The following is a 26008-nucleotide window of genomic DNA, read 5'->3' as shown; positions in this document are numbered from 1 at the left end:
AGCTCAGGGCTGTTTCCCTCCCCTACTCCACCGATTTTGGCATGTGCCTTGTCTTCTTACCAAATGGTCAGCTTCTAGAGGGCCAATTCTACCTTTCTGGCCCCATGACATGGAGTTGGGCTCACAGCACATGCTGTGTTGAATTGGCTCGGCTTTCATGAGCAGTTGGAACAGGTGTAAGTAAGGAAGTCAGGCCGAGGGTTTTCCAAAATGGAAGCGAGGGCCAAGTTACATCAATATTACGTGATGACTCTGGCCCTGAGAAATGGCGTCCTGCAAGGACAAGTGTTTGCCCTTGGGGTTGGTGGGGTCTTGTGAGTCAGGGCCAGCCAGAGGTTCCCTGGTTGTCAATCCAGCATTCTCCACCGCTGTCTTCCAGCTCGGACTCCCACCCATTTTCCTCCTTGATTGGGCCCAGTTTTGTTCAGCTGTCAGCAGTGGTGCTGTGTGCTTCACTGTAGGGGCCCTGGCCCCAGTAGATACACTCCCTTGCTTGTGATTGGCTGAAGTGCAAGCATGTGAATTAGTTCTGACCAATGAGACGTCAGGGAACATTTGCTCAGTGGAGGGGCTTCTGGGAAAGATTTCCTTTTGCTTAAGGGTGACATCCATGCTTAAAAGGGAAGAAGTAGTCTCTCTTTTTCCCCTGGAAATCGTTCATATCTTTGAGGCCTGGAGCTGTGGCCATCTTATGGCCATGAGGGCACCTGACCCAGGAGTAAGGCAGACCCAAGGAGGGTGGCGGTGCAGAGAGACAAGAAGAATCTCACTCGATTATATCACCAGGCTGCTGATGGCAATTGGGCCTGGAGCAGCCCTTCTCTGGACTTCCTGTTATGTGAGAGAATAAATTCCTTCTTGTTGAAGCCACACTGAGTCAGGCGTTTGGTCGTTACTGGCTGCTGAAGGCGTTCTAACTGGTACACCTCTTACTTACCCAGAGCATCCCTGCACCCCAGCTGCCCGGCCAGCTGTGCCCTGGGCACGCAGGAATGGCCTTTGGTTCTTATTCACGTTGGCCACACGTGGGTGGATTCCTGCCCCTCTGAATGACCTCATGCTTGGTAGATGGTGGCGGGTTGCAGGCCTTTGACATGCGTGAAAGCCAGTGTCTCCCACCTGGGAAGCCCAGGAAGAGGGATGAGGTTTTCTGAGACCTCAAAAGCATTCCCATCAGCCACCAAGACAAGGATGAGCGGATGTCTGACCCAGAGATAGGTCAAATGGGTGCCATATAAAATATGAAAGACGGCCACAGCCACAGGAAAGCTAATGGAGTGGCTGCAGCCCTTCCACCCATGGGATTTGTCTGTCCCTGCTCATCAAGTGTGGCTAGTGGTGGCAGCACCAGAACCATGTAGAGCAGATCTGGTCTGGTCCTTTTAGAGGCCACCAGGCCTGGAGTCAGAATCTTCTGCATTTGCCCTCCAAGCCACCTTGTACACATCACATGATCATCTGAAACTGTAGCTGTCCTGACTTGATGAGTGTTAAAATAGTGCTAGCAGGGAAGAAGAATGAACTGCATTTCTTGGGTCTCTCTCTGTCTTTCTCTCTCTCTCTCTTCATTTTTTCTGTAGAGACGGGTTTCCCTATGTTGCCCACTCTGGTCTCGAACTCCTGGGCTCAAGTGATCTTCTTCCCTCGGCCTCCCAAAGTGCTGGGATTACAGGCGTGAGCCACTGTGCCCAGCCTCTTGCGTCTCTCTTGTGTGCCAGATTCTGGCTATGAACTTTTACACAGATCTCAGTTAATCATCACAACAAGCGAATGATGTCAGGGGTAATTCTCATTCAGGGCTTGAGTAGACTGAGGCTAGAGCCGTTAATTGAACTGGATTCTAGCCCACTTCCAACTAGTTTCACTGTTCTTCTATTACACTAATGTTTTTCTAAACTGATTGGATCAAAGAATCACTTCTAGACAGCTTGTTAGAATCCAGATTGCAAAGCCCCACTCCCAGAGATACTGATATAGTAGGTCTAGGGTGGAGCTGGGGTTCTGCATTCTTAAGCTCCCAGTGTTGCAGGTATGCAGCATGCTTTGAGCCAAATACTAAACTAAGTGTAGTTTATAGATTACCAGACATCTTGGCTGAGGGTGGTGATTCTCTCGGCCCAAGGTAGAAGCTGGAAATCTACATTTGTAAACAGCCTCAGTTAGTTTGAGTAGGCAAGTGTGGGAGCCTTTGCTCTGAACCACAATGGTTAGCATTTAATGTGCACCTACTATGTGTGGGCACAGCACCAGGTATCAGAGGGGCATCAGAAGAAATAGAGTGAGCAGGTCACCAGGCAGGGAAACTTACAGTTCAGGATTGTCGCTCAACCTCTGGGCAGCAGGGTCCCCTGGGGGCTAGTTAGCAACTCAGATGGGCAGGCTGGGCCTGAGCTTCTGCTTCAGGAGGTCTTAGTGGTTTAGGGACTCAGGAAGCAGGATCCCAGGGCCCCAAGTGATTATGGTGCCCGGAGTTCTAGGACCAGACTTTAGACGTGGTTGTCCGAGTGGGAGACAGAATGTGACCCTGTAGCCTGAGGACAGCAATGACAGCATTGCTTACAAGCACAGAGGGTGCAGCTGGGAGCCTGGAGAGGTCAGACTCAGTGGCAGTGAGTGGGTAAGCAGGGCCTGGCAGGGCACCAGGAGGAGGATCTTGGGCAGGGTGGTGGCGTGAGGGTGACCAACTCGTCCTGGTTGGCCTGAGACTTTTCTGGTTGTAGCATCCAAAGTCCTGAGTCCCAGAAGCTCCCTCAGTCCTGGGCAAGTGGAACGGTAGTCTTTCAGGTAGATAGAGGTATTTTAGCAAAGGGGAAAGGAACCCCGGGCAGGAGAAAGCAGTGGGCTTTGCCCTGTTAGACCTGGGTTCAGATCTCGGTTCTGTCACTTCCTGCTTGTCTGGCCTCAAGTGAGTGAGTGACTTAACTTCTCTGAGCCTCACTCTTTTTGTTTTTGAGATAGGGTGTCACTCTGTCGCTCAGGCTGGAGTGCAGTGGTGTGATCACGGCTCAGTGCAGCCTCAACCTCGCAGGCTCAAGCAATCCTCCCACCGCAGCCTCCCGAGTAGCTGGGATTACAGGCAAGCACCACTATGCCCAGCTGATTTTTGTATTTTTTGTAGAGATGAGGTTTCACCATGTTACCCAGGCTGGTCTCGAACTCCTGGGCTCAAGTGATCTGCCCACTTTGGCCTCCCAAAGTGCTGGGATTACAGGTTTGAGTCACTGTGCCTGGCCTAAGCCTCACCTTTATCTGCAAGGTTATTTTGTGGAGTAAATGAGACAGTGCAGTTTCCGGCACCAGCATTATTTGAAAGCAGCCTGACTGAGTCAGGAGTCTTGTGTGTGGAAGTAGGATGGAAAGGTTCAGATGCTCGGTTTCTTTGCAAAGGGTGCAGGGGGCAGGTGGGCTGATAACAGCAGCAGTGATAGTGGATGTAGCAAGCCCTGCAGCGGGGAGGTGGGGTTCTGGTTGTACTGATTGTGACTCAGGCCCAAAGCTGAAGCAGCGCGGTGTTGGCTGGGTCACAGAACGAGGCAGTGCAGAACACGGGCTTCAGCCCACGGCTGCCAGACTCCACAGTCCTCCTCCTCCAGCCGTTCATTCAGTGCTTTGGCGAGCCCAGCACAGAATGTGGGGGTGCTGTATGTGTAGCGGGGATGCAGACAGGAATGTGACCACTAGACTCTCAGCCCCGGGAGGGCGAGGCTTTTTGCTGGTTTTGTTCATTGCTGTATCCCAACCACCAGTAACAGTGTCTGGCATACAGTTGGTGCTCAATTAATTATTCAATGAAACGGAATTGTTGACTTTTTTTTGTGTTCGTGTCAAGTACTTCCAGGAACAGAGAAGAAACTCTTAAGTTTTTTCTTTCTCATCTGATCAAATCTTTGCATGTCAGCTGCTTATCCTGCATGGGAGGAACCAGGAGGAAGGGCAGTCCCTTCCAGAGGCAAAGGCCACAGCCCCACCTTCCCCGGGGGATCAAGGAGGCCAAGTGCCCCTGGGCATTGAGCTGTGCCCGCCGCAGGGCTCACAGGAGTGACTCTGATGAGCTGAGGCAGGGCACGGACCCCCTGCAGGGCGGCTAATTCCCCATATCTCTTTGATGAGAGTCTCACTAGTGGTCTCTATTCGGCTTCAGGCTTTATCTCTGTATACAAGTCGTTGGGAGCTGGTTATTGCAGCCTCACTTAAACCCCAAATAATGCCCGAGGGAAAAGCGAAGCCAGCTCTGGGTACCCTTGAATCCCTCCTTACCCCTGTTCCAACCTTGCAGATAGAGGTGAGGTTTAGGCCGGGCGCGGTGGCTCATGCCTGCAATCCCAGCAGTTTGGGAGGCCACGGTGGGTAGATCCCCTGAGGTGAGGATTTCGAGACCAGCCCGGCCAACATGGTGAAACTCTGTCTCTACTAAAAGTACAAAAAAATTAGCCGGGCATTGTGGTACACGCCTGTAATCGCAGCTACGCGGGAGGCTGAGGCAGGAGAACAGGAGAATTGCCTGAACCCGGGAGGTAGAGGTTGCAGTGAGCCGAGATCGCGCCACTGCACACTACCCTGGGTGACAGAACAAGACACCTTGGCCTCTGCCCTTGAGGAGTTTACTTAGATTCATTACTCATCGAGCTCTTACTGAACACCTACTGTGTGCCAGCCACTGGCCCGAGGCCCTGGACTGATGTCTGAGATGCACCTGTAACTCTTAGCAGACCTGGGCACGTGCTCAGGACTGGGAGTGGCTGTGGGCGTCCACCCGAGACCTGGTCCCACGCCGAAGACTGTTGGTGTCATCTCCAGGGTGGCTGTGTAGCCCTGCCTGCCTGGGGCTCCGGGTGAGTCCTGGCTTGCTGGCGGGGCTGACGGAATGCCCATGACCTTCCCTCCCTGTGGCTTTTGTGGACCTGCATGGTGGACACTTGCTGAGCAGCCTTCCCCAGAGAGGGGTTCAGGTCCCCTCCACCGCCCCTCTGTGGTCCTCATCTCTCCGCAAATGCAGATGGGCTCAGCCCTTTTGCTGTGAGGCCTGGTTCCCTTGAGGAACTACCCCCCTGGCCCTTGCAGGCCCGAAGCCTAACAGGAAGCAGTGTTTTCTCTGAAGTGAGCTAGCCCCAGCGAGTGTCCAGTCGACCAGGTGCCAAGCCCTGGGACCCGCAGTAAATGCTGCCTACCAGGCCAAGGGAGGTGACTCGCCACTGAGTCTCAGGCCCTGAGGCCTGGGGAGGTGGTCTCTGAGACCCTTTGCAGCTGGCTTGCAGCCTGTGGCATCCCTTCCTAGCCTCTGCTCCACCGCACTCACAACCGTGCTGAGCCTCCTTTCCGCCTGGAATCACACCTGGGAAACTCCTGCCACACTTGGAGAAGTCCCTCAGGCCCGGCCCAGATCTCATTTGCTCTGGACACTCCTCTCAGCGTCCTGGGGGCCTCTCCACACCACCAGGCCAGGACTCAGTGCCACTTGTCCACCCACAGACCTGCAGCCTCGAGGCTTCAGCTCTTTCTTTTCTTTTCTTTTCTTTTTTTTTTTTTGAGACGGAGTCTCGCTGTGTCACCCAGGCTGGAGTGCAGTGGTGATCTTGGCTCACTGCAAGCTCCGCCTCCCGGGTTCACGCCATTCTCCTGCCTCAGCCTCCCGAGTAGCTGGGACTACAGGCGCCCCCACCACGCCCGGCTAATTTTTTGTATTTTTAGTAGAGACGGGGTTTCACCGTGTTAGCCAGGATGGTCTCGATCTCCTGACCTCGTGATCTGCCTGCTTCGGCCTTCCAAAGTGCTGGGATTACAGGCGTGAGCCACAACGCCCGGCCACAGCTCTTTCTTTTGGCTCTCTGCGAGTGTGTTGAACTTGCCTGTGTGGAGCTGGCTTCCTGAGAGGCCATTTCCAAGCCCTCTGGGCCGGCCTGATAACATCCCCCTGCCTGGTAGAGTCACTTCCTGCCCTGCTGGGCTCCGGGGACAGGCCAAACCAGCTCTACGCTAGTGACTTTCAGGTTACCTTTTCTTGTATCAGGCTTCTCTAGGAATTGTGTGTGTGTGTGTGTGTGTGTGTGACCAGCGTACTCATCTCTTCTGCCAGTGTAGCGGAAGGATTGTCTTCTCTTCCCACACTTTACTCTCCCATCCTGTTCTTCTAGCCTCTGCGCTGTGTGTGTAGATGTGGGGGGAGGCTTGGCATGAAGCCTGGTCTCTGACTACCAAGATTTTCCCAGAATATTGTTTCTGCCAACTTCTTCTGGGCCCCTTCATCTTTGCCTTTTGCCATCTTTGCTTTTCAGTCAAGAGTTCCAACTAGCCAGGCCCTCTGAACTGGGCCACAGTTTAAACCAGGAGAGTTATGGGAGTCGGGAGGAACCAGCAGGAGCCCTGCAGTGGGAATGGGAAGGTCCGAATTCTGGCCCACAGTCATGGCCAGACTGTGTCCCAGGCACCCCAGGGGAGCTGAGTCTCCTGAGGCCAGCCTGCTTGGTTGGGCTCCATCTGTGAAGGGGAGATATATTGATTGGTTGATTCCAGAAATATTTATGGAGCCCCTCCTATGGCCCAAGCACTGCAGCTAGAACATAAGTATGAGGGGATAGATGGAGGTAGTGGCTAGGTGGTAAGTTACAAGGATTTTGGCCTTCACTTGGGGGGAGAGTGGAACCACTGGAGGGTTTAGAGGGGAGGGGTGACCTGGTATGGCTTACATGGGGTCAACTCATTCATATTTTTTTTTTTTGCATCGGAGTCTCGCTCTGTCACCCAGGCTGGAGTGCAGTGGTGTGATCTCAGCTCACTGCAACCTCTGCCTCCCGGTTTCAAGCGATTCTCCTGCCTCAGCCTCCCCAGTAGCTGGGATTACAGGTGTGTGCCACCACATCCAGCTAATTTTTTGTATTTTTTTTTTTTTTTAGCAGAGATGGGGTTTCACCATGTTGGTCTCGAACTTCTGACCTTAGGTGATCCGCCTGCTTCGGCCTCCCAAAGTGCTGGGATTACAGGCGTGAGCCACCGTGCCCGGCCTTATCCATGTTTTCTAGGAGAGGTGTGTGCCCTTCTCTTCTAACCCCGCTGCTTGACAGTGTCCCTGCCCTGTTACACCCGGCTCTCTGCCTCTCCACGCCTGCACCTGCGCAGCAGCGTCCCTGGGGAGTACCCGTCAACCCTGTTGACTACTTGCAAATGGTGACCAAAGACCGGGAGGAGCACCGCCGCTCTTCAGTAGGTCGGATTCCCATGCTCCAAAGTGTCTGTTCCATGTGCTCCTCCCTCCCTTCCTTTGAAAGCCACCCTCTCATGCCTAGCTCATGACCTTGCCTCATACTTTACTGAGGAAATAAAAGCAATTAGGAAACTCCCTTGTTTCATGCCACTAACTCGACCAGCTTTCCCCTCTGTCACTGCTGGCGCCCTCTGTCACTGCTTGGAGCCCTCACTCCCTTCAGAGGCCAGCGGCTCCTTCACCTGTGCTCAGAATCCCTTCCGTTCTCACCCTCTCAGGACCGGGCTGCCACAGCCTTCACTTCTCTCCTGACCCTTCCCTTCTGCAGGCACGGGCACAGGCACCCTAGACTTCCCTGCTAAAGGCTCCCTGAACCCCCATCGCTGTCTAAGGACTGGCCCAGCCCCCTGCAAACCCTTCCCTAGCAAACCCTCAGTCCAGTGAGTTAGGCTTGTACCCCGCAGTCCCCTGAGATGCCTCACGTCGAGGCTGCCCTCTGATGTGGCCCGTGTGCTGCCAGGTCTAATGGCTAGTCTGTGATCTTACACTTGATGTTCCAGCTGCTTTCTTTCTTTCTTTTTTTTTTTTTTCCTTCCTGAGATGGAGTTTTCGCTCTTGTTGTCCAGGCTGGAGTACAATGGCACGATCTTGGCTCACTGCAACCTCCACCTCCAGGGTTCAAGCGATTCTCCTGCCTCAGCCTCCTGAGTAGCTGGGATTACAGGCACCCACCACCATACCTGGCTAATTTTTGTACTTTTAGTAGAGATGGGGTTTCACCATGTTGGCCAGGCTGGTCTCGAACTCCTGACCTCAGGTGATCCACCCCCTTCCCCTTGGCCTCCCAAAGTGCTGGGATTACAGGCGTGAGCCACCGTGCCCGGCGCTCCAGCAGCTTTCAATGCACTCAAATACCCCTCTTTCCAGAAACCCTTCCTAATCTTGGTTTTGGTAGCAGACATGGTCGTGGTTTCTCTTCCCAGGTCCTTCCCGCTCAGTCCTCCAGCTTTGATCTGGACTTAATTTCTGTACTTGGATATTGAATGCTGTCTCACATTTCACTTGGCCCAAACAGAGCTCTTGGTTTTATTCCTCCTCACCTCAGTAAATGGTAAAATGGCTCCACTCTCCGCTCCATTGTGCTATCTCAAATCGAGGGTTTATCTTCAACCCTCTCCTTTCCTCATCCTGTGTGCTCATTTCCTGTGGCTGCTGTAACAAATTATCGCTCATTTGCCAGCTTCAGACAATACAGATGTCTTCTCTTAGCGTTCTGGAGGTCAGAGTCAGAAATGGGTCTCACTGGGCGAAGTTCAAGTGTCAGTGGTTTCGCGTTCCTTCCGGGGACTCTTGGGGAGGACCTGTGTTTGTGCCTTTTCCAGCTTCTAGAGGCTGCCGGCACTGCATAGTGCCATCTTTTTTTTTTTTTTTTTTTTTGATAGGGTCTTGCTCTGTCTCCCAAGCTGGAGTGCAGTGGTGTGATCATGGCTCACTACAGCCTCGACCTCCCGGGCTCAAGCGATCCTCTTGCCTCAGCCTCCCCTGTAGCTTGGACTACAGGCGTCCACCACAAAGCCTAGCTAATTTTAAAAATTTGTATAGAGACAAGGTCTCACTATGCGTGCACCATAACTCAGTTAACAGGTCTCCTCTCAAGGACCGTATAGCCTGGTCTCAAACTCCTGGGCACAAGCAATCCTCCTGCCTCAGCCTCCCAAAGTTCTGGGATTATAGGTGTGAGCCATCGTGCCTGGCTGCCTTCCTCCTTCTTTAAAGCCAGAGGTTTAGTGTCCTCTATTCATTCTCCCTACTTCTGTCCTAACATCTCCTTGGACTCTGACCTTTTTTTGAGACGGAGTCTTGCTCTGTCATCCAGGCTGGAGTGCAGTGGCGCAATCTTGGCTCACTGCAAGCTCCGCCTCCCAGGTTCACACCATTCTCCTGCCTCAGCCTCCCGAGTAGCTGGGACTACAGGCGTCCGCCACTGTGCCCGGCTAATTTTTTGTATTTTTAGTAGAGACAGGGTTTCACTGTGTTAGCCAGGATGGTCTCGATCTCCTGACCTCATGATCCGCCTGCCTCGGCCTCCCAAAGTGCTGGGATTACAGGTGTGAGCCACCTCGCCTGGCCGGACTCTGACCTTCTAACTTCCCTCTTCTAAGGACCCAGTGGGCCCACCCAAATAATCCAGGATAATTCTCCTATCTCAAGATCCTTAATTACATCTGCAAAGTTCCTTTTGCCATGTAAAACAACATGTCCACAGGTTTCAGAGATGAGGATGTGGACATGTCTGGGGGCCATTATTCTGTCTGCCACACCTCCAGTTTAATCTTTCACCTTCAAATGATGTCCCCACTCAGTCTATTTCTCTCTTTCTGCATATTTCTCACCTCGTCCTGCCCAAGTCACCATCACGTCTCACCTGACTACTACTACCTCCTAACCATTTGTAGCCTTGCCTCCAGCCCCACCCTGGGTCCATTCTCCACAGGGCTGACAGAGGCATCTTTTAAAAACTTAGATCAGGCCGGGCGTGGTGGCTCACGCCTGTAATCCCAGCATTTTGGGAGGACAAGGCGGGTGGATCACGAGGTCAGGAGATCGAGACCATCCTGGCTAACACGGTGAAACCCTGACTCTACTAAAAATACCAAAAATTAGCTGGGCGTGGTGGCGGGCGCCTGTAGTAGTCCCAGCTACTCGGGAGGCTGAGGCAGGAGAATGGCATGACCCCAGGAGGCGGAGGTTGCAGTGAGCCGAGATCGTGCCACTGCACTCCAGCCTGGGCGACAGAGCGAGACTCCGTCTCAAAAAAAAACAAACAAAAAAAACTTAAATCAGAGCATTTCATCTCCCTGCTTAAAAACCTTCAGACTCCCAATTGCACTTCACATGAATGCCAGACCCCTTGCCACAGTCTGTGCTTACCTGCCCCGCTGTCTATCTCCACCCCAACGCCCTTCCCTCCACCCAGCCACACGGGCTTTCCTGCTGTTCCTGGAACACACCAGCTCTGTTCACACCTCGGGGCCTTTCCAGGAGCTGCTCCCTCTCCTGGAATGCTCTTCGCTCAGATCTGGGCATGACTGACTCCATCTCCTCATTGAAGTCTTGGATGCCCTGCCCTTGAGTCTTTCCCTGATCTGACCACCTAGTCCACAGTAGCCCCAGTCACCCTCTTTTCTCTGCACAGCTCTTACCACTGTCTGGCCCTTTTCTGGTTTATCTCTTTGTCTTCCCTGTCTAGAGTGTAAGGTCCTTGAGGGTAGAGACCCACTAGGTCCTGTTCATAGCTGTAAGTCCTTGGTGCTGGCAGGTGCTGAATGAATGGGGGTGATGTGCAAAGTGCCACCAGGACCCTGATGGCCCAGGCCGAGGGAGCAAGGGAAGCTGCTCCAAGCTGACCTGAAATGTGTCTTAAAGGATGCCTGGGATATTGGCAGGAGAAGGGAGGGAGGCATGACATGTCCAAGCACCCTTGGGTGAGTCAGATGGCCGTGGCCTTGGAAAGATGCTGAGGACCTGGAGCACGGGTGCGTGAGGCTGGAGGCCCAGGGAGAGTGGGAGATGGGCTCTCGGTAGTGATCGCAGATGTAAAACTCCTTCCTTGGCTCTGAGATGATGGACTGAGCCACGGGAACCCCTCTGGGGTGGCCAGAATAGCCACTCTAGACCAAGAGCACACAGTGACATGGGTCATCTTTCTTCTTTTTAAATTATCTGGTTCATGTTTTTTGTAGGTAATGAATGTACATGGTAGTAAAAATCGAATTATAGGGTATATGGTGAAAAACAGCCTCCTACATCGTGTCCATGTCCTCTTGCTCCCTTCCATAGGAACAGCCACTCTTTAGACTTTCCAGGGGCTCCTTTAGGAATTATTCTGAATATCTGCACATTTATAAGAAAACATGTTATTGCGTGTTTTTTTTTTTTTTTTTTTTTTTGAGATGGAGTCTCACTCTGTCGCCCAGACTGGAGTGTAGTGGCACGATCTCAGCTCATTGCAACCTCTGCCTCCCAGGTTCAAGCAATTCTCCTGCCTCAGCCTCCCCAGTAGCTGGGATTACAGGCACCTGCCACCATACCAGCTAACTTTTGTATTTTTAGTAGAAACGGGGTTTTGCCATGTTGGCCAGGCTGGTCTCGAACTCTTGACCTCAGGCGAGTGTTGGGATTACAGGTGTGAGCCACCTAGTCCGGCCTATTGTTTTTTACACACAATAGTGACTATATACCCTCTTTTGTGTCTTGCTTTTTTCAGCTATCTTTGTGATTGTCAGCTATTACTGCATAACAAACCATCCCAAAGCTTAGTGCCTTAAAGCAATCACCTTTTATTATTTCTCATGATTCTGGGCTTGCCAGGGCTCGCTCATCCATCAGTGGCCTGCTATGGGTCAGCCCGGTGACTTTGCTGCTCTTGGCTGGGCTCTCTTACGCTTATGGAGTCTTGCCTAGACAGCTCAGCTCTGCGCCACGTGGCCTTTTATCGTTCAGCAGGTTGGCCTGGGCTAGGTATGGGCTGGCCTAGGCACGTTCTCGTGGCGGTCACAGAGAAGCAAGAGGGAAAAAGTGCGTAAGCCCTTTTCTAAGCCTCTGCGTGCATTAACATTTCCACTGTTCCATCAGTCAGAGCAAGCCCTGGGGTCAAGCCCAGGGACAGTGCAAGAGGCCACAGAGCATGGGATTCAGGAAACGTGAAGACATGGCCTTTCGTACAGCCAGGCCACCACAGAGTCGTATGGAGATCTGCTCCATGTGTTTATGGGTGCACGGTCCTGCTGCATGGGGTGCACCATAACTCAGTTAACAGGTATCCTGTCAAGGACCTTATAGGTTGTCTCGTATCTTTTGCTATGACCAGTAGGGCTGTATGTAGTAAACATCCCTATCTGTACATCTTTGTGCTGAAGATTGCATATATCTGTGGGATAACCACTTAAAACTGGAATTTCTGGGTCAGCTGGTATGGGAGTATGTCAGTTGCTTTGTAGAAATTGCTACATTGCCCCCTGGAGACACTCATGCTAATTTATACCCCCACCAGCATGACACAGCAGTGTCTGTTTTCCTGTTAGCACTCTGGAGGCAGGGGGATCACAAATACTGCAAATGCTGGGTTACCCGGGATTACAGGAAGCCCAGTAAACGAGGAGCTGGAGTTCACTCTGGTCATTCTGAGGCTTTTTTTTTCTTTAGACTAAGTCTCACTCTGTTGCCCAGGCTGGAGTACAGTGGAGACATCTCGGCTCACTGTAACCTCTGCCTCCCAGGTTCAAGTGATTCTCCTGCCTTAGCCTCCCGAGTAGCTGGGATTAACAGGTGTGTGCCACCATACCCAGATAATTTTTGTATTTTTTTTTAGTAGAGATGGGGTTTTACCATATTGGCCAGGCTGGTCTTGAACTCCTGACCTCATGATCCACCCACCTTGGCCCCCCAAAGTGCTGGGATTACAGGTGTGAGCCACTGCACCTGGCCTTCTGAGCCTTAAGAAATGGAGAACCTGGGTCAGGCAAGTTGGCTTGTGCCTGTAATCCCAGCACTTTGGGAGGCCAAGGCGGGCAGATCACTTGACACCAGGAGTTCCAGACCAGCTTGGCCAACATGGGAAAACATTGTCTCTACTAAAATACAAAAATTAGCCTGGTGTGGTGGTGCGCGCCTGTAATCCCAGCTACTCGGGAGGCTGAGGCAGGAGAATTGCTTGAGCCTGGGAGTCAGGTTGCAACGGGCTGAGATTGTGCCACTGCACTCCAGCCTGGGTGACAGAGCGAGACTGTCTCAAAAAAAAAAAGAAAAAAAGAAAAAGAAATGGAGAACCTGGCTGTGTTTTGGGGCAACAAAGGGGACACTGAGGAGCCAACTCCTCCCTGAATAGCGGTGTGTTTCTTCCTCCTGGATGCCAGCTGCAGCAGGAATGGTTTGAATAGATCTAAATACTTCTCTATTGACATAGAAACTGAGTTGTTGAGAATTTTTTGTGTTGGTGTCAAGTACTCCCAGGAATAGAGAAGAGTCTTTTTTTCTTCCTCATCTGATCACATCTCTGCATGTCAGCTGCTTATCCAGCAAAGGAGGAACTAGGAGGAAGGGCAGTCCCTTCCAGAGGCAAAGGCCACAGCCCCACCTTCCCCGGGTGGGGGGGATCAAGGAGGCCAAGTGCCTGTGGGCATTGAACTGTGCCAGCCACAGGGCTCAGGGGACTGGCTCTGTTGTGCTGAGCCAGGGCACGGACCCCCCTGCAGGGTGGCTCATTCCCCATATCTCCTTGGTGAGGGTCTCACTAGTGGTCTCTCTTTGGCTTCAGGCTTTATCCCTATATAAGCCATTGGGGAGCTAGTTACTGCAGCCTCACTTAACCCCCAAATAATGCCCAAGAGAAAAGCGAAGCCAGCCCTGGGTACCCTTGAGTCCCTCTTTACCCCTGTCCCCTGAGAATCCTAGCAAGTGAAGGAGAGGGACTTCAAAACCATCCATCCAGCCTCTGCCCCAGAGGGGTTAAGTGGGCCGGGGTCACCCAGCTGGTTGGGAGGGAAGCTGGGCCCCTTCTGGAGGCTGATGGTATAGTTTGTGCATGGCGTGCCGGAGAGAGTGTAGGGAGACTGCCTGCGTTCAAACGCAGCTCCAGGATGAACCAGCTCTGTGGCCTTAGGGATGCTGCTCCCCTCTCCTGCCTGGTTCCCTGTTTGTGAGATGGAGATGATAATAGCATCCTAGTATTGTTTCCAGGACTATCAGGATCGGGTAAACTGCTCACCATACTGCATGGCACTTCGTATGAGCTCAGCATGGCTGGGCTATTAATGACTCACACAGCATTCATATCCTCCTGCTACATTGCAGGCCTGTTGAACACGGAGCTTGTGTCTCCTAGAGCTTTCTGGCCCCACAAGATCCAACATAACTATTCTGGGAAATAGTCAATCCTAAATGGATGGTAATAACAGTAGCTAATGTTTATTCACCACTTACTTCAGACTATGTGCGTTACATATTATCTCTAATCCTCATGATACCCAAGTGAGAAAACTAAGGCTCAGAGAGGTTAAGTGTCTTGCCCAGTGCCACACGGCTAGCGAGCAAGGGAGGTGGGATTTAAGCCCAGGGCTGCCAGAGGCCAAAGCTCTTTCCCCTGCATTGCACTAGCTGTGGCCTCTCCTTTCTGTAAACTGCACTTCTGGCCCCACTTTGCAGTCCGGCTGCTCCACGACCAGCTGTGTGCCACACTCTGCCTGGTGAGTGCATAGGCACATGGGGGATTTAAGCCTTTCCTGCGCACAATTCGAGTGTAAGGTCCCCGCTTCTGTGTTGCACCTGGAAGCTCTCAAGGCCGTAGTGGGCTCACCTTGTTTGTTACCCAGCTCTCACGGGTCACTGTTCTTTGTTGCCTGATGCCCAATGTCTTGAAAACATTTTTTTTTTGTCTTGTTTTTGTGGTAGTCTCAGATAGGAGAGTAAATTTGGTCCCTATTACTCTTTCTTGGCTGGAAGTAAAAGTCTAGCTTTAATGTTTTGATCTTGTTTTATATTTAATTCTTTAATCTATCTGGAATTAATTTTCTCGTATGCCCTGGAGTGCCTTTTTTCCCTCTTGTCACACTGTTCTACCTTGCAGCTGGACACGTTATTAGGTAATAAATGCTGGTTAGGTGATGTCTTTTCTTGCTAGTGGGTTCTGAATTGGGAGCCCACGAGGTCCCTGACAAGGGCAGGCAGTGCTCATGGAGTGTTGGTCACACCACCCAGTGCCCCTCTATCATTTAGGACTGAACTATGCAGCCTCTGGATGATTTCTTTGGCCTGACTCTTGATGTTTTTAATATCTCTGCCCTCCTGATTGGGAGAGTGAGTGGCAGGGAATTCACCTTTTTTGAGGGAAGCAAAGAAAACATAATTTGTTGGGAGATTAACTTAGCGCCTGGACTTTTGAAAAATTTCGGAAATTGTTTTGCAGCCACCATGCTCAATTTCAAATGAGATTGTAACTTCCCTGCTCAGAGCAGGCAGCTCCTTTTGGAACTGAGGAGCCGATACCTACCTGCCTAGCAGGAAACTCCCCTGACGGTTCCCCCTTTCTCTCTGTATTAGTCCATTCTCACACTGCTATAAAGAAATACCCAGCCAGGGCTGGGTGCGGTGGCTCATGCCTATAATCCCAGCACTTTGGGAGGCCGAGACAGGTGGATCACGAGGTGAAGAGATTGAGACCATCCTGGCCAACATGGTGAAACGCCATCTCTACTGAAAATACAAAAAATTAGCCGGGTGTGGTGGCAGGCGCCTGTAGTCCCAGCTACTCGGGAGGCTGAGGTAGGAGAATCACTTGAACCCGGGAGGTGGAGGTTGCAGTGAGCCGAGATTGCGCCACTGCACTCCAGCACTCCGGCCTGGTGACAGAGCGAGACTCCGTCTCAAAAAAAAAAAAAAAAAAAAAAAAAAGAAATACCCAGCCAGGTGCAGTGGCTCACACTTGTAATCCCAGCACTTTGGGAGGCCAAGGTGGGTGGATCACTTGAGGCCAGGAGTTTGAGACCAGCCTGGCCAACATGGTGAAACCCTGTCTCTACTAAAAATACAAAAACTAGCCAGGTATGGTGGCGCGTGCCTGTAATCCCAGCTACTCAGGAGGCTGAGGCATGAGACTTGCTTGAACCTGGGAGGCGGAGGCTGTAGTGAGCCGAGGTGGTGCCACTGCACTCCAGCCTGGGTGATAGAATGAGACTGTTTCGAAGAAAACAAACAAGGCCGGGCGCGGTGGCTCACGCCTATAATCCCAGCACTTTGGGAGGCCGAGGCGGGCGGATCACCTGAGGTTGGGAGTTCGAGACCAGCCTGACCAACATGGAGAAACCCTGTCTCTACTAAAAATACAAAATTAGCTGGGCATAGTGGTGCATGCCTGTAATCCCAGCTACTCGGGAGGCTGAGGCAGGAGAATTGCTTGAACCCAGGAGGTGGAGGTTGCGGTGAGCAGAAGACGTGCCATTGCACTCCAGCCTGGGCAACAAGAGCAAAACTCCATCTCAAAAAAAAAAAAGAAAAAAAGAAAAAAACAAACAAACAAACAAAAGAAATACCTGAGACTGGGTAATTTATAAAGGAAAGAGATTCTTTTTTTTTTTTTTTGAGACAGAGTCTTGCTCTTTCGCCAAGGCTGGAGTGCAATGGCACAATCTCAGCTCACTATAACCTCCGCCTCTTGGGTTCAAGCGATTCTTCCTGCCTCAGCCTCCTGAGTAGCTGGGATTACAGGCACCTGCCACCACGCCTGGCTAATTTTTGTATTTTTAGTAGAGACGGGGTTTTGCCATGTTGGCCAAGCTGGTCTCGAACTCCTGACCTCAGGTGATCCGCCCACCTTGGCCTCCCAAAGTGCTGGGATTACAGGCATGAGCCACTGTGCCTGGCCAGGAAAGAGGTTTAATTGACTCACAGTTCCACATGGCTGGGGAGGTCTCAGGAAACTCACAGTCATGGTGGAAGGTAAATGGGAAGCAAGGACTTTCTTCAGAAGGCGGCAAACAAGAGAGAGAGAAAAAGCACAGGGGAAATCACCACTTATAAAACCATCAGGTCTCGTGAGAACACAGTCTCATGAGAACAGCATGGGGGAACTGCCTCATGATCCAATCACCTCCTACCAGGTCCCTCCTTTGACAGGTGGGGATTACAATTTGAGATGAGATTTAGGTGGGGACACAGAGCCAAACCATATCACTCTCCCAGCACTTCATGGTTTGGTTCTAACAAACGACTTGTAATTCCCCAAACGAGTAGGGCATGCCATACCTTTGCATATTCTATTCCTTCTGTCTGCAATTCTTTTCCCCACATTTTCCATCTTGCAAATGTGTAGCATCACATTCTTGGTGCAAGCTTTGTCTCCTCTCCCACCCCCATCCAATACTGTACACATCTTCATTAGAGCCTGTATTGTGTTGAATGGTCTTGAGAGACTGGGGTGTCGTGAGGGAAGGGACTGTGTCTCCTAATTCTGAGGAAAAACTTTTTTCTCCGTTGATCATTTTCCTGCACCGTGCTCTCCCAGTTGCTGCTTTTGTTGTTGTTGTTGTTGAGACAGAGTCTTGCTCTGCTGCCCAGGCTGGAGTGCAGTGGCACAATCTCAGCTCACTGCAACCTCTGCTTCCCAGTTTCAAGTGATTCTCCTGCCTCAGCCTCCAGAGTAGCTGGGATTACAGGCGTGCACCACCATGCCTGGCTAATTTTTGTATTTTTAGTAGGGACAGGGTTTCTGCATATTGGCCAAGCTGGTCTTGAACTCCTGACCTCAAGCGATCCACCTGCCTCGGCCTCCCAAAGTGCTGAGATTACAGGCGTGAGCCACCGCACCCTGCCCCCAGTTGCTGCTGATGGAACTGAGCGCTCTCCACATCTTGGCATCACGACTCTGGCGCATTCCCCCAGCATCAGGAGATCAGAGAAACACAAAGGCCCTGAATCCGCATAGCACTTGGGTAGCAGTTTTTACACCTCTCTGCAACTATGAAACCCATTGTTTAAATAAAAATTTGGCAAGCCTGGGATGTAAAACCAAAGCAGCAGGAGAAGTGCAGGGTCTGCGGATTCTGCAAAGGCCCTCAGTTGGGTTCTGGGAATTCTGTTTGGAGACCGGTAAACTTGAGGACTTGAGGTTGATGGGGTGTTTCCAGATAGGAGTTCTCAGCCTGAAGCTGGTTTCTTGTTTGGGAGATCTGGTTAAGATTCCAGTTTGGCCCCTGTAACAAAGATCACAGTGACTTAGAAAGTAGATCAGGATAGAAGTTCATGTTTCACTCTCACATAAGCAGTCGGGGGCTCGGTGGCAGCTCCTGGTGTTGGGGATCTAGCAAGCCTTGTGTGGCGCTGCTCTGCTCTGCTCATCCTCAATAGGTGGCTTCCAGCTTGTGGTCTCAGATGGGCGTGCCATTTTCCATCAGCACTGCCAAGGTCCAGCCTATGGGGGAGGGTGAACAGGGACTGGCGGGCAAGCCTATTCCCTCTAAAGGCCAAGCCCAGAAGCTGCGTGCAACACCTCTGCTCCCATCCCATCGTCATAACGTAGTCACGGGGCAGCATGTCGCCATCAGGGAGCCTGGGATGTGTAGTCTTTAACTGGGCAGCCGCGTGCTCTGATAAAACATGGGAATTTTAATACTAAAGGAAGAAAGGGAGAGTGAATATTCTGGGACAACAAGCAGACTCTGCCACAGGCAATGACCGCCCTAACCCTGGGGAAGATGCAGATGCCTTCCCTATCATCTAATTAATTCACCATTTATTGAGCATGGACTCTGTGCCAGATATTGTGCACAACACACAGGTTCTTCCTTTAGGCCTCCTCCTTACAGTCTAGAAGGGGCAGACAGACTGATGAACACCCAGGGTGCTCAGGGTTCCTGGGGCTGCTCGAGGTGGTTTGGGATGAGGCACCTGGAGGAGAGGTCTGCAGCGCTTGGAATATTCGTAGGTGTTCACTAAGTAGCGGTGAATGGTGTCCTCAGGATGCCAGAACATTCCAAAGGGGTGGCACATGTGACACTTGGCCAGGACCTGTTTTCCATTGCTGAGGGCTTTGGATGTCTCCCTGTGGTGGGGGTGCTGAGTCGGGAGGTCAGGAGCGGGAAGCATTGACATCTGGGCATTCTGATCCCAGCTTGATTCTCCAGCTTTCTATCCACATCCTATTCCCCTGCCACTTGGTTCTCTCCGCTTTCCTGGGCTCTGTGCTGTGGCTTTGGTTGTGCTGTTCCTTCAGCCTGGTTTGCCCTTCCCTCTGCTTTTTGCCAGCCCAGGTCCTACTCATCCTCTGAGGCCCAGCTGGGAGGTGTGTTCACTCTGGGCCATAGAGTTTTCCCACTGAGAACTCAGTAGCTCTAGCCCACAGTCTGTAAATGGAATTGTGGCTCTGAGAGGGTAAGTCATGTGCCCCCACAGCTAGAATAGGTAGCAGGGGTCCTGATCTCCCGTTGTTTCTGCTCCCTGGCTTGGAGATTCTGCCCAGAGGAGCCATTTTCAGATGCAGGGTCCCTGTGGCAGGGAGGCGAGGAGGGGTGAGGTCGTGAGGAGGGGTGGGGAGAGAGGAGTCCTCCGCTCAGGCCGAAAGAGGTGCTTTCTTGGAATTGCTTCCCAGAATCAATGAAGTTAAATCATTGGGCCAAAGTCACCGAGTGACAAATTTGGGTTTAAATCTAGGACTCTGAATCCCAAGTTCTATTTTATTTTGTTTTTTGGAATTTAAAAATATACAGAAAAGAAGTTCTACATAGATGGATAGTCTTACCACTCAGAAGTAACCACTATTAATATCCTGGTATATATACTTCCAGTTTTTAAAGAAGAGTTACTTTTTTTTTTTTCTAAAAGTGATATAAAAGAATTTTGCTCAATGTAAATAATTTAAACCACAAAGATGAGAATTTAAAAATTATCCCAAATCTTATCATTCAGAAATTCCTATTGTTTACACTAAGTGATGATCATTTTAGACATCTTTGTAGGGACACAGACAGATATAAAGGTAGATATTTAGACAGACTTCTATAAACAGTGATCATATTGCTGTCCAATATGATATCCCCTAGCTACATGTAGCTATTGACCACTTGAAATGTACAGGTTAGAGCTGACATGTGCTGTGAGTGTAAAATACACACAAGATTTGGAAAACTTAATATGAAAAAAGAATGTAAGGTCTCATTAATATTTTAAAAATATGATTGCATGTTGACCTGATAGTATTTTTTTTTTTTTTTTTTGAGACAGAGTCTCGCTCTGTTGCCCAGGCTGCAGTGCAGTGGCGCGATCTCCGCTTACTGCAAGCTCCACCCCCCAGGTTCACGCCATTCTCCTGCCTCAGCCTCCCGACTAGCTGGGACTACACACACCCACCACCACGCCCGGCTAATTTTTTGTATTTTTAGTAGAGACGGGGTTTCACCGTGTTAGCCAGGATGGTCTTGATCTCCTGACCTCATGATCCACCTGCCCTGGCCTCCTAAAAGTGCTGGGATTACAGCTGTGAGCCACGCGCCCGGCTGACCTGATAGTATTTTGGTTATATTTAGTTAAATAAAATGTTATTTAAATTAATTCCACTTTTTTTTTCTTGCGATGTTGTCCAGGCTGGTCTCAAACTCTCGGGCTCAAGTGATCCACCTGTCTAGGCCTCCTAAAGTGTTGAGATTATAGGCATGAGCCACCGAGCCCTGCCTTCTTTTCCTTTTTTAACATGGCTATTAAAATTTATAAATTAAGGCCGGGTATAGTGGCTCATGCCTGTAATCCCAGCACTTGGGGAGGCCAAGTCAGGCGGATCACCTGAGGTCAGGAGTTCAAGACCAGCCTGGCCAACATGGCGAAACTCCGTCTCTACTAAAAATACAAAATTAGCTGGGCATGGTGGTGGGTGCCTGTAATCCCAGCTACTCTGGAGGCTGAGGCAGGAGAATTGCTTGAACCCAGGCGAAGGTTGCAGTGAGCTGAGATTGTGCCATTGCACTCCAGCCTGGGCGACAAGAGCGAAACTCTGTCTCAAGAAAAACAAAACAAAACAAAATTTTTAAATTATGTATGTGGCTTGCATATATTTCTATTGAACAGCACTGGTCTATTATTATAGTATTAATAAGTTTATTCATAAATATTAAAAGGAAAAAATGAAAATGAATTTAGAGGAATTTTTTTTTTTTTGAGATGGAGTCTCACTCTGTTGCCAAGCTGGAGTGCAGTGGCATGATCTTGGCTCACTGCAACCTCTGCCTCCTGGGTTCAAGCGATTCTCCTGCCTCAGCCTGCCAAGTAGCTGGGATTACAGGTGCACACCACCATGCACAGCTAATTTTTGTATTTTTAGTAGAGACAGAGTTTCACCATGTTTGCCAGGTTGATCTCAATCTCTTGACCTCGTGATCTGCCCACCTTGGCCTCCCAAAGTGCTGGGATTACAGGTGTGAGCCACTGCGCCCTGCCTAAAGGAATTTTTGAGCTCTAAATAAATGGTTCTTCATTATTTCCTGAGAGTTCACTAAAATTTAAACAAATTTTTGAAAAATAGTAAAAGATTAGATTGATTTTTTTTTTTAAGAGCACATGGTACAGTGTTTTGAAAGATAAAGGCATGACACTCCGAAGCTCCTCCCAATTTCGGATATATGATTGTTTTTGCAACGTATTGCTTTCTGACATTCATATTTGTTCTGTGGCTCTAATTCTTGTGGGCATTTAGTATTCTGTAAGAAACACTCAGGCCTTTGCCTACATGTCCTTCGTTCCTGAGTCCTGGGTTTCTTTATGAGCTGGGTTTCATTTCTTGAGAAGGGCTTGTGTGTCTGGGAGGAAGCTGCTTGTTGCCTTGGTGCCTGGCTGGTGTCTGGACCGGCCCCACGCACTGGAGTCGCACTTTGTACCCCAGTGTACTCTGTATGCGCCACTTCATTGTCTTCTGGCATTGGATGCTGCTGTGGCCTTGCCTGATTTCCTCTTTTTTTTGAGTCAGAGTCCCACTCTGTCGCCCAGGCTGGGGTACAGTGATGCAATATCGGCTCACTGCAACTTCCACTCCTGGGTTCAAGTGATTCTCTTGCCTCAGCCTCCCTAGTAGCTGGGATTACAGGTGCACACCACCATGCCTGGCTAGTTTTCCTGTATTTTTAGTAGATACCGGGTTTCACCACATTGGCCAGGCTGGTCTCAAACTCCTGACCTCAGGTGATTCCCCTGCCTCAGCCTCCCAAAGTGTTGGGATTACAGGCATAAACCACCATGGCTGGCCAGACTTGCTTTTTCTTCTTGCATGTCTAATGAGTTCTTGAGTTCAGTACCTGAACTCAGCCCTGTTTTCGTGTTAATTGGCTCCTCCCAGAACTCTAGGTCTCATCTCTAAAAGGTTATTTTAGGCTTCCCAGTACATAGATAGAGCATGCTAAGACCTATAGATTCAGCAGTTTTGGGCCAACTTCTCAGAACATGTGGAAAAGGCTTTTGTTTTAGCTCTTGGCCTTTGGTGGACTTACCACCCAGAATCTTAGGGGGGTCCTCGCTGATGACTTTTTGAATTAATTTTAGATTGCATATATAATAGGTAAATCTAGTCTTCTTTTTAGGACCAGGATGTTAAAGACAAAGCTAAAGTCCATTTTTGCCACCAACCCCAGTTGAGGTCCCCTCCCCAGCACCCCAGCTGTAACTACTATCATGGCCTTAAGATATGTCCTTCCAGACCTTTTAAAACTGATTTTATATTTTAATACAATTATGTTCTGTCCCATCCCAGAAAAATAGACCATGCTTAGGCTGGTGTATGAGTTGTTCTGGGTTTATTCAGAAGAGTCTGGGGGGTGGTGTGGATTACAAAGAGCTGCTCCTGGAGTGAACTTTTCATTTGAATTAAGCCAATATAGACATCAACAAGTTATAACCGTAAGTAGTAGTATGCTCTCGGGAGTAAAAGCTTCATGCAAGCATTCCCAGATATCTGTATAGTTATGACTTTTAGACAGAAACAGACGAACACTCTGTTACTCTGCAAGAATACAGACTTGCGTTCAGGTCATTTTGACACAGACTCATCTTAAGATCTGGCTGTACAGACATTCCACCAGCTGCATAGAATACAGCACCAGAGCTGGGGATTTCATCGCGCCACTCTTGAAAATACGTAACACTGGGGTTTGTGTGTGTTTTATAAAGATCATAATGAACACATCATAAGCCACCTTTGTTTTTTTCCTACTGAACTTGAACTCTCTCCACGTTAATGTGTATCTACCGGCAGCCAGGCGCAGTGGCTCATGCCTGTAATCCCAGCACTTTTGGAGGTCGAGGTGGGCGGATCACCTGAGGTCAGGAGTTTGAGACCAGCCTGGCTAACATGGTGAAACCCTGTTTTTACTAAAAACACAAAAAAGTAGTCGGGCGTGATGGCAGGTGCCTGTAATCCCAGCTACTCGGGAAGCTGAGGCAGGAGAATCGCTTGAACCCGGGAGGTGGAGGTTGCGGTGAGCCGAGATCGTGCTATTGCACTCCAGCCTGAGCAACAAGAGCGAAACTCCATCTCAAAAAAAAAAAGTATCTACTGGCAAAGAAATGATGGAGTGTTTGAGCCAACACCTATTTGAGTACATGCTACTGGAACATTCTTTAAATGAACTGAATTCACTATGAGGTGGTGCCCACTTAGACCCTATGAAGGCTATGAAGTTCCAGAAGGACCTTGCTGGGGGCCTGGAGCCTCGGAGGGTGGTGGTTCTGGGGTCCCTTGAGTGAGGGGGTCCTACATGCAGGCCATTCCTTGCTCCCACTTTGTTCTCACTTTGTTTTTGTAGATGACATGGCAGAGCTTCTCCTCGGGGAGTCGAAGCTGGAGCAGTACCTGAAGGAACACCCCCTGAGGCAGGGGGCCAGTCCCCGAGGCCCCAAGCCCCAGCTGACTGAGGTCCGCAAGCATCTGACCGCCGCCCTGGACCGAGGGAACCTTAAGGTACCATGGGCCTCTGGGCTGAGGCGACACTTCCTTTGGACAGTGTGGGGTTGAGAAGGGTGCCCAGGGTTGAGCCGGGTGACGTTTGGAGCTCACCTGCACACTGCCAGGGCTTGTCTTCTTAGAAGCGGGCCAGCTCCCAGTTGGGTGGATGTGCCAATCTCTAGGCTGGCTGACCACTGTGGGGGCTTCTGGGCCAATAGGGTCTCTCTGATGAGAGTCTTCAATGACACGTCATCTGCACAATGCCACTTATCTCTCAGACGCTTGAACTAAAGCTATCCGATATAACCCAGAGCTTAACCTGACATGTTACGCAGTTCTAGAAAAGAGAGAAGTTAATCAGAAGGATGCTCAGCGCACAGCTTCCTGCTCATCAATGTAAGAAGCCACTGTGGCCCAGAGCTGTGGGAGGTTCCATACTGGTGCCAGCAGGCCTGGCGTCACAGTTGGGAGGGGGCCAGGAACTTCCCCACGTCTCAGCAAGAACCCTCACCCTCAGGCACAAGGAATCTTAGGTGCTGCCCCCTATCTGTCCATTCTGTTTTCCGGTCTCATTACACCCAGGTTTCCATTCCCTCTCACGTGGCTTTCCTTCCTTTCTTCTTGGACTCCTCATCAGTTCCTTTTGCTTTTCATGGGGGTCATCTCCTCTTCCCGCCCTGCCCTTCTGCCTCCCAGGTGGCTCACACTCCCCTGGCTCTAGATGCTTCCCCTAGTTCAGATGGCTGTCTGTGGCCCGCTCCATGCTGCCTGTCTTCCCCAGGATGTATTTCCCACTGAGGACAGTCTTTGGTGAACTTCTGGAGCTCTGACTTCCGTTTCCTTTTAACTTTGATGACTTCTTTCTCATTTTTCTTCTCTTCCTGTCTCGGAATCCTCTGAGACTCCATTTTTGGTCTTTATTCTTGTTTGTGTGTGCACGCTTCCCCCCGGGAAGCCATGCTTTCTTTGGCTTTACATTTCATATCTGTACTGCAAACTCCAGCCTGCTCCCGACTTGCTGTGTGACCCCGGGGAGGTTACTCGCCTCTCTGCAGCTCAGTTTCTTTAGGTTTGAATGGGGTGGGCTCTTAAAGGGGTGAGCTTGGACCTTCCCGGCTCCTGCATGTTCTAAGCCTGTGAGCTTTCAATTTGAGCTGTTCCTCCTCTTGGTCATCTGGCCACCTCCTTGGCCCTGCTGCAATGGAGGGCCTGGGCAACCTTTGAGTAAGTTAGTATTGGTGTTGGTCAGTTGTGCAGCAACAGGCTTCTGGAAACCCTGATAGAGAGCTGCTTTCAAAATTGTCTCTGTGTATGTTGTATGCACGGGACACAGCTCCAGGCCGCTAGGAGGTGGCTGGAGAGCGTCATCTCAACACAGGGATCTTGCCCCAGGCCCCTAGGGGGTGGCTGGAGAGGTCAGCTCAGCATAGGGATCCCAGGTACTTAAAGACTCCCTGCTGCATTTGGGCTTCAAAAACCAGGTCTTCTCTTTCCCCATTCAGTTTCTCTGTAAGGGCCATGCCACACTTTGGTGTGTGGCAGATCACTTGAGGCCAGGAGTTCAATACCAGCCTGGCCAACATGGCGAAACCCCATCTCCATCTCATCCATCTCATATGTTTTTTTTTTTTCGAGATGGAGTCTGGCTCTGTCACCCAGGCTAGAGTGCAGTGGCGTGATCTTCGCTCACTGCAAGCTCTGCCTCCCGCGCTCATGCCATTCTCCTGCCTCAGCCTCCTGACTAGCTGGGACTACAGGCACCCGCCACCACGCCCGGCTAATTTTTTGTATTTTTAGTAGAGACAGGGTTTCACCGTGTTAGCCAGGATGGTCTCAATCTCCTCACCTCGTGATCCGCCCACCTCAGCCTCCCAAAGTGCTGGGATTACAGGCGTGAGCCACCGCTCCCGGCCTCATCTCATATGTTCTTAACCGATGACATGATGACACAGGTGGACACAGGGGTAGGTCTTGATCTGGGGACACAGGTGGTAGGTCTTGATCAGCAGGAGAGAGTGAAGGGACAGCAGGCACATGGGCCACAGCTCACAGTGATGGCCAGCCAGACTCAAGTGTCCTGCTGGGAGGTGTGAGGGGAGAGATCTGGCTTGTTTCTTTCCCCCGTCTACCCGCCCCCCAACTTCATCTTGAAAAATTCACTTTTCATTTCACCAGGTGCTGATAGGTTTTGCTTTCCATCCTCTACAATGCAGTGTGGTAGTAAGCCCATTGAATTTATTTTATTTTTTATTTATTTATTTATTTTGAGACAGAGTGTTGTTCTGTCATCCAGACACCATCTTGGCTCACTGCAACCTCCACCTCCCAGGTTCAAGCAA

At 50.6% G+C, this 26008-nt stretch overlaps 1 protein-coding gene across 3 annotated transcripts in view, besides 1 other annotated feature; it reads left to right on the top strand.

Annotated features, from left to right (window-relative positions):
• The window catches only part of TTC7B (tetratricopeptide repeat domain 7B), a 291867-nt gene that overhangs the window by 6573 nt on the left and 259286 nt on the right, over nucleotides 1-26008 (top strand). For all 3 annotated transcript variants that reach the window (NM_001320421.2, NM_001010854.2, NM_001401365.1), the window contains exon 2: nucleotides 23530-23684. Coding sequence is in view for 2 of the 3 variants with exons in the window: in NM_001010854.2 (NP_001010854.1) it covers nucleotides 23530-23684 (155 nt within the window). In the remaining variant the exon portion in view is untranslated. The remainder of the gene's footprint in view (nucleotides 1-23529; nucleotides 23685-26008) is intronic.
• Nucleotides 15904-16066: a silencer, noted in NCBI's record as "fragment chr14:91260136-91260298 (GRCh37/hg19 assembly coordinates)". NCBI's record gives its function as "represses an EF-1alpha promoter that drives an FKBP-Casp9 reporter gene in an ReSE screen in K562 erythroleukemia cells {active_cell/tissue: K562}" and the evidence as "EXISTENCE:reporter gene assay evidence [ECO:0000049][PMID:32094911]".

The sequence above is a fragment of the Homo sapiens genome, chromosome 14 (assembly GCF_000001405.40).
Source record: "Homo sapiens chromosome 14, GRCh38.p14 Primary Assembly".
Classification (NCBI taxonomy): domain Eukaryota; kingdom Metazoa; phylum Chordata; class Mammalia; order Primates; family Hominidae; genus Homo; species Homo sapiens.
The sequence above is the reverse complement of the archived record's forward strand: the minus strand, read 5'-3'. Positions and strand labels throughout refer to the sequence as shown.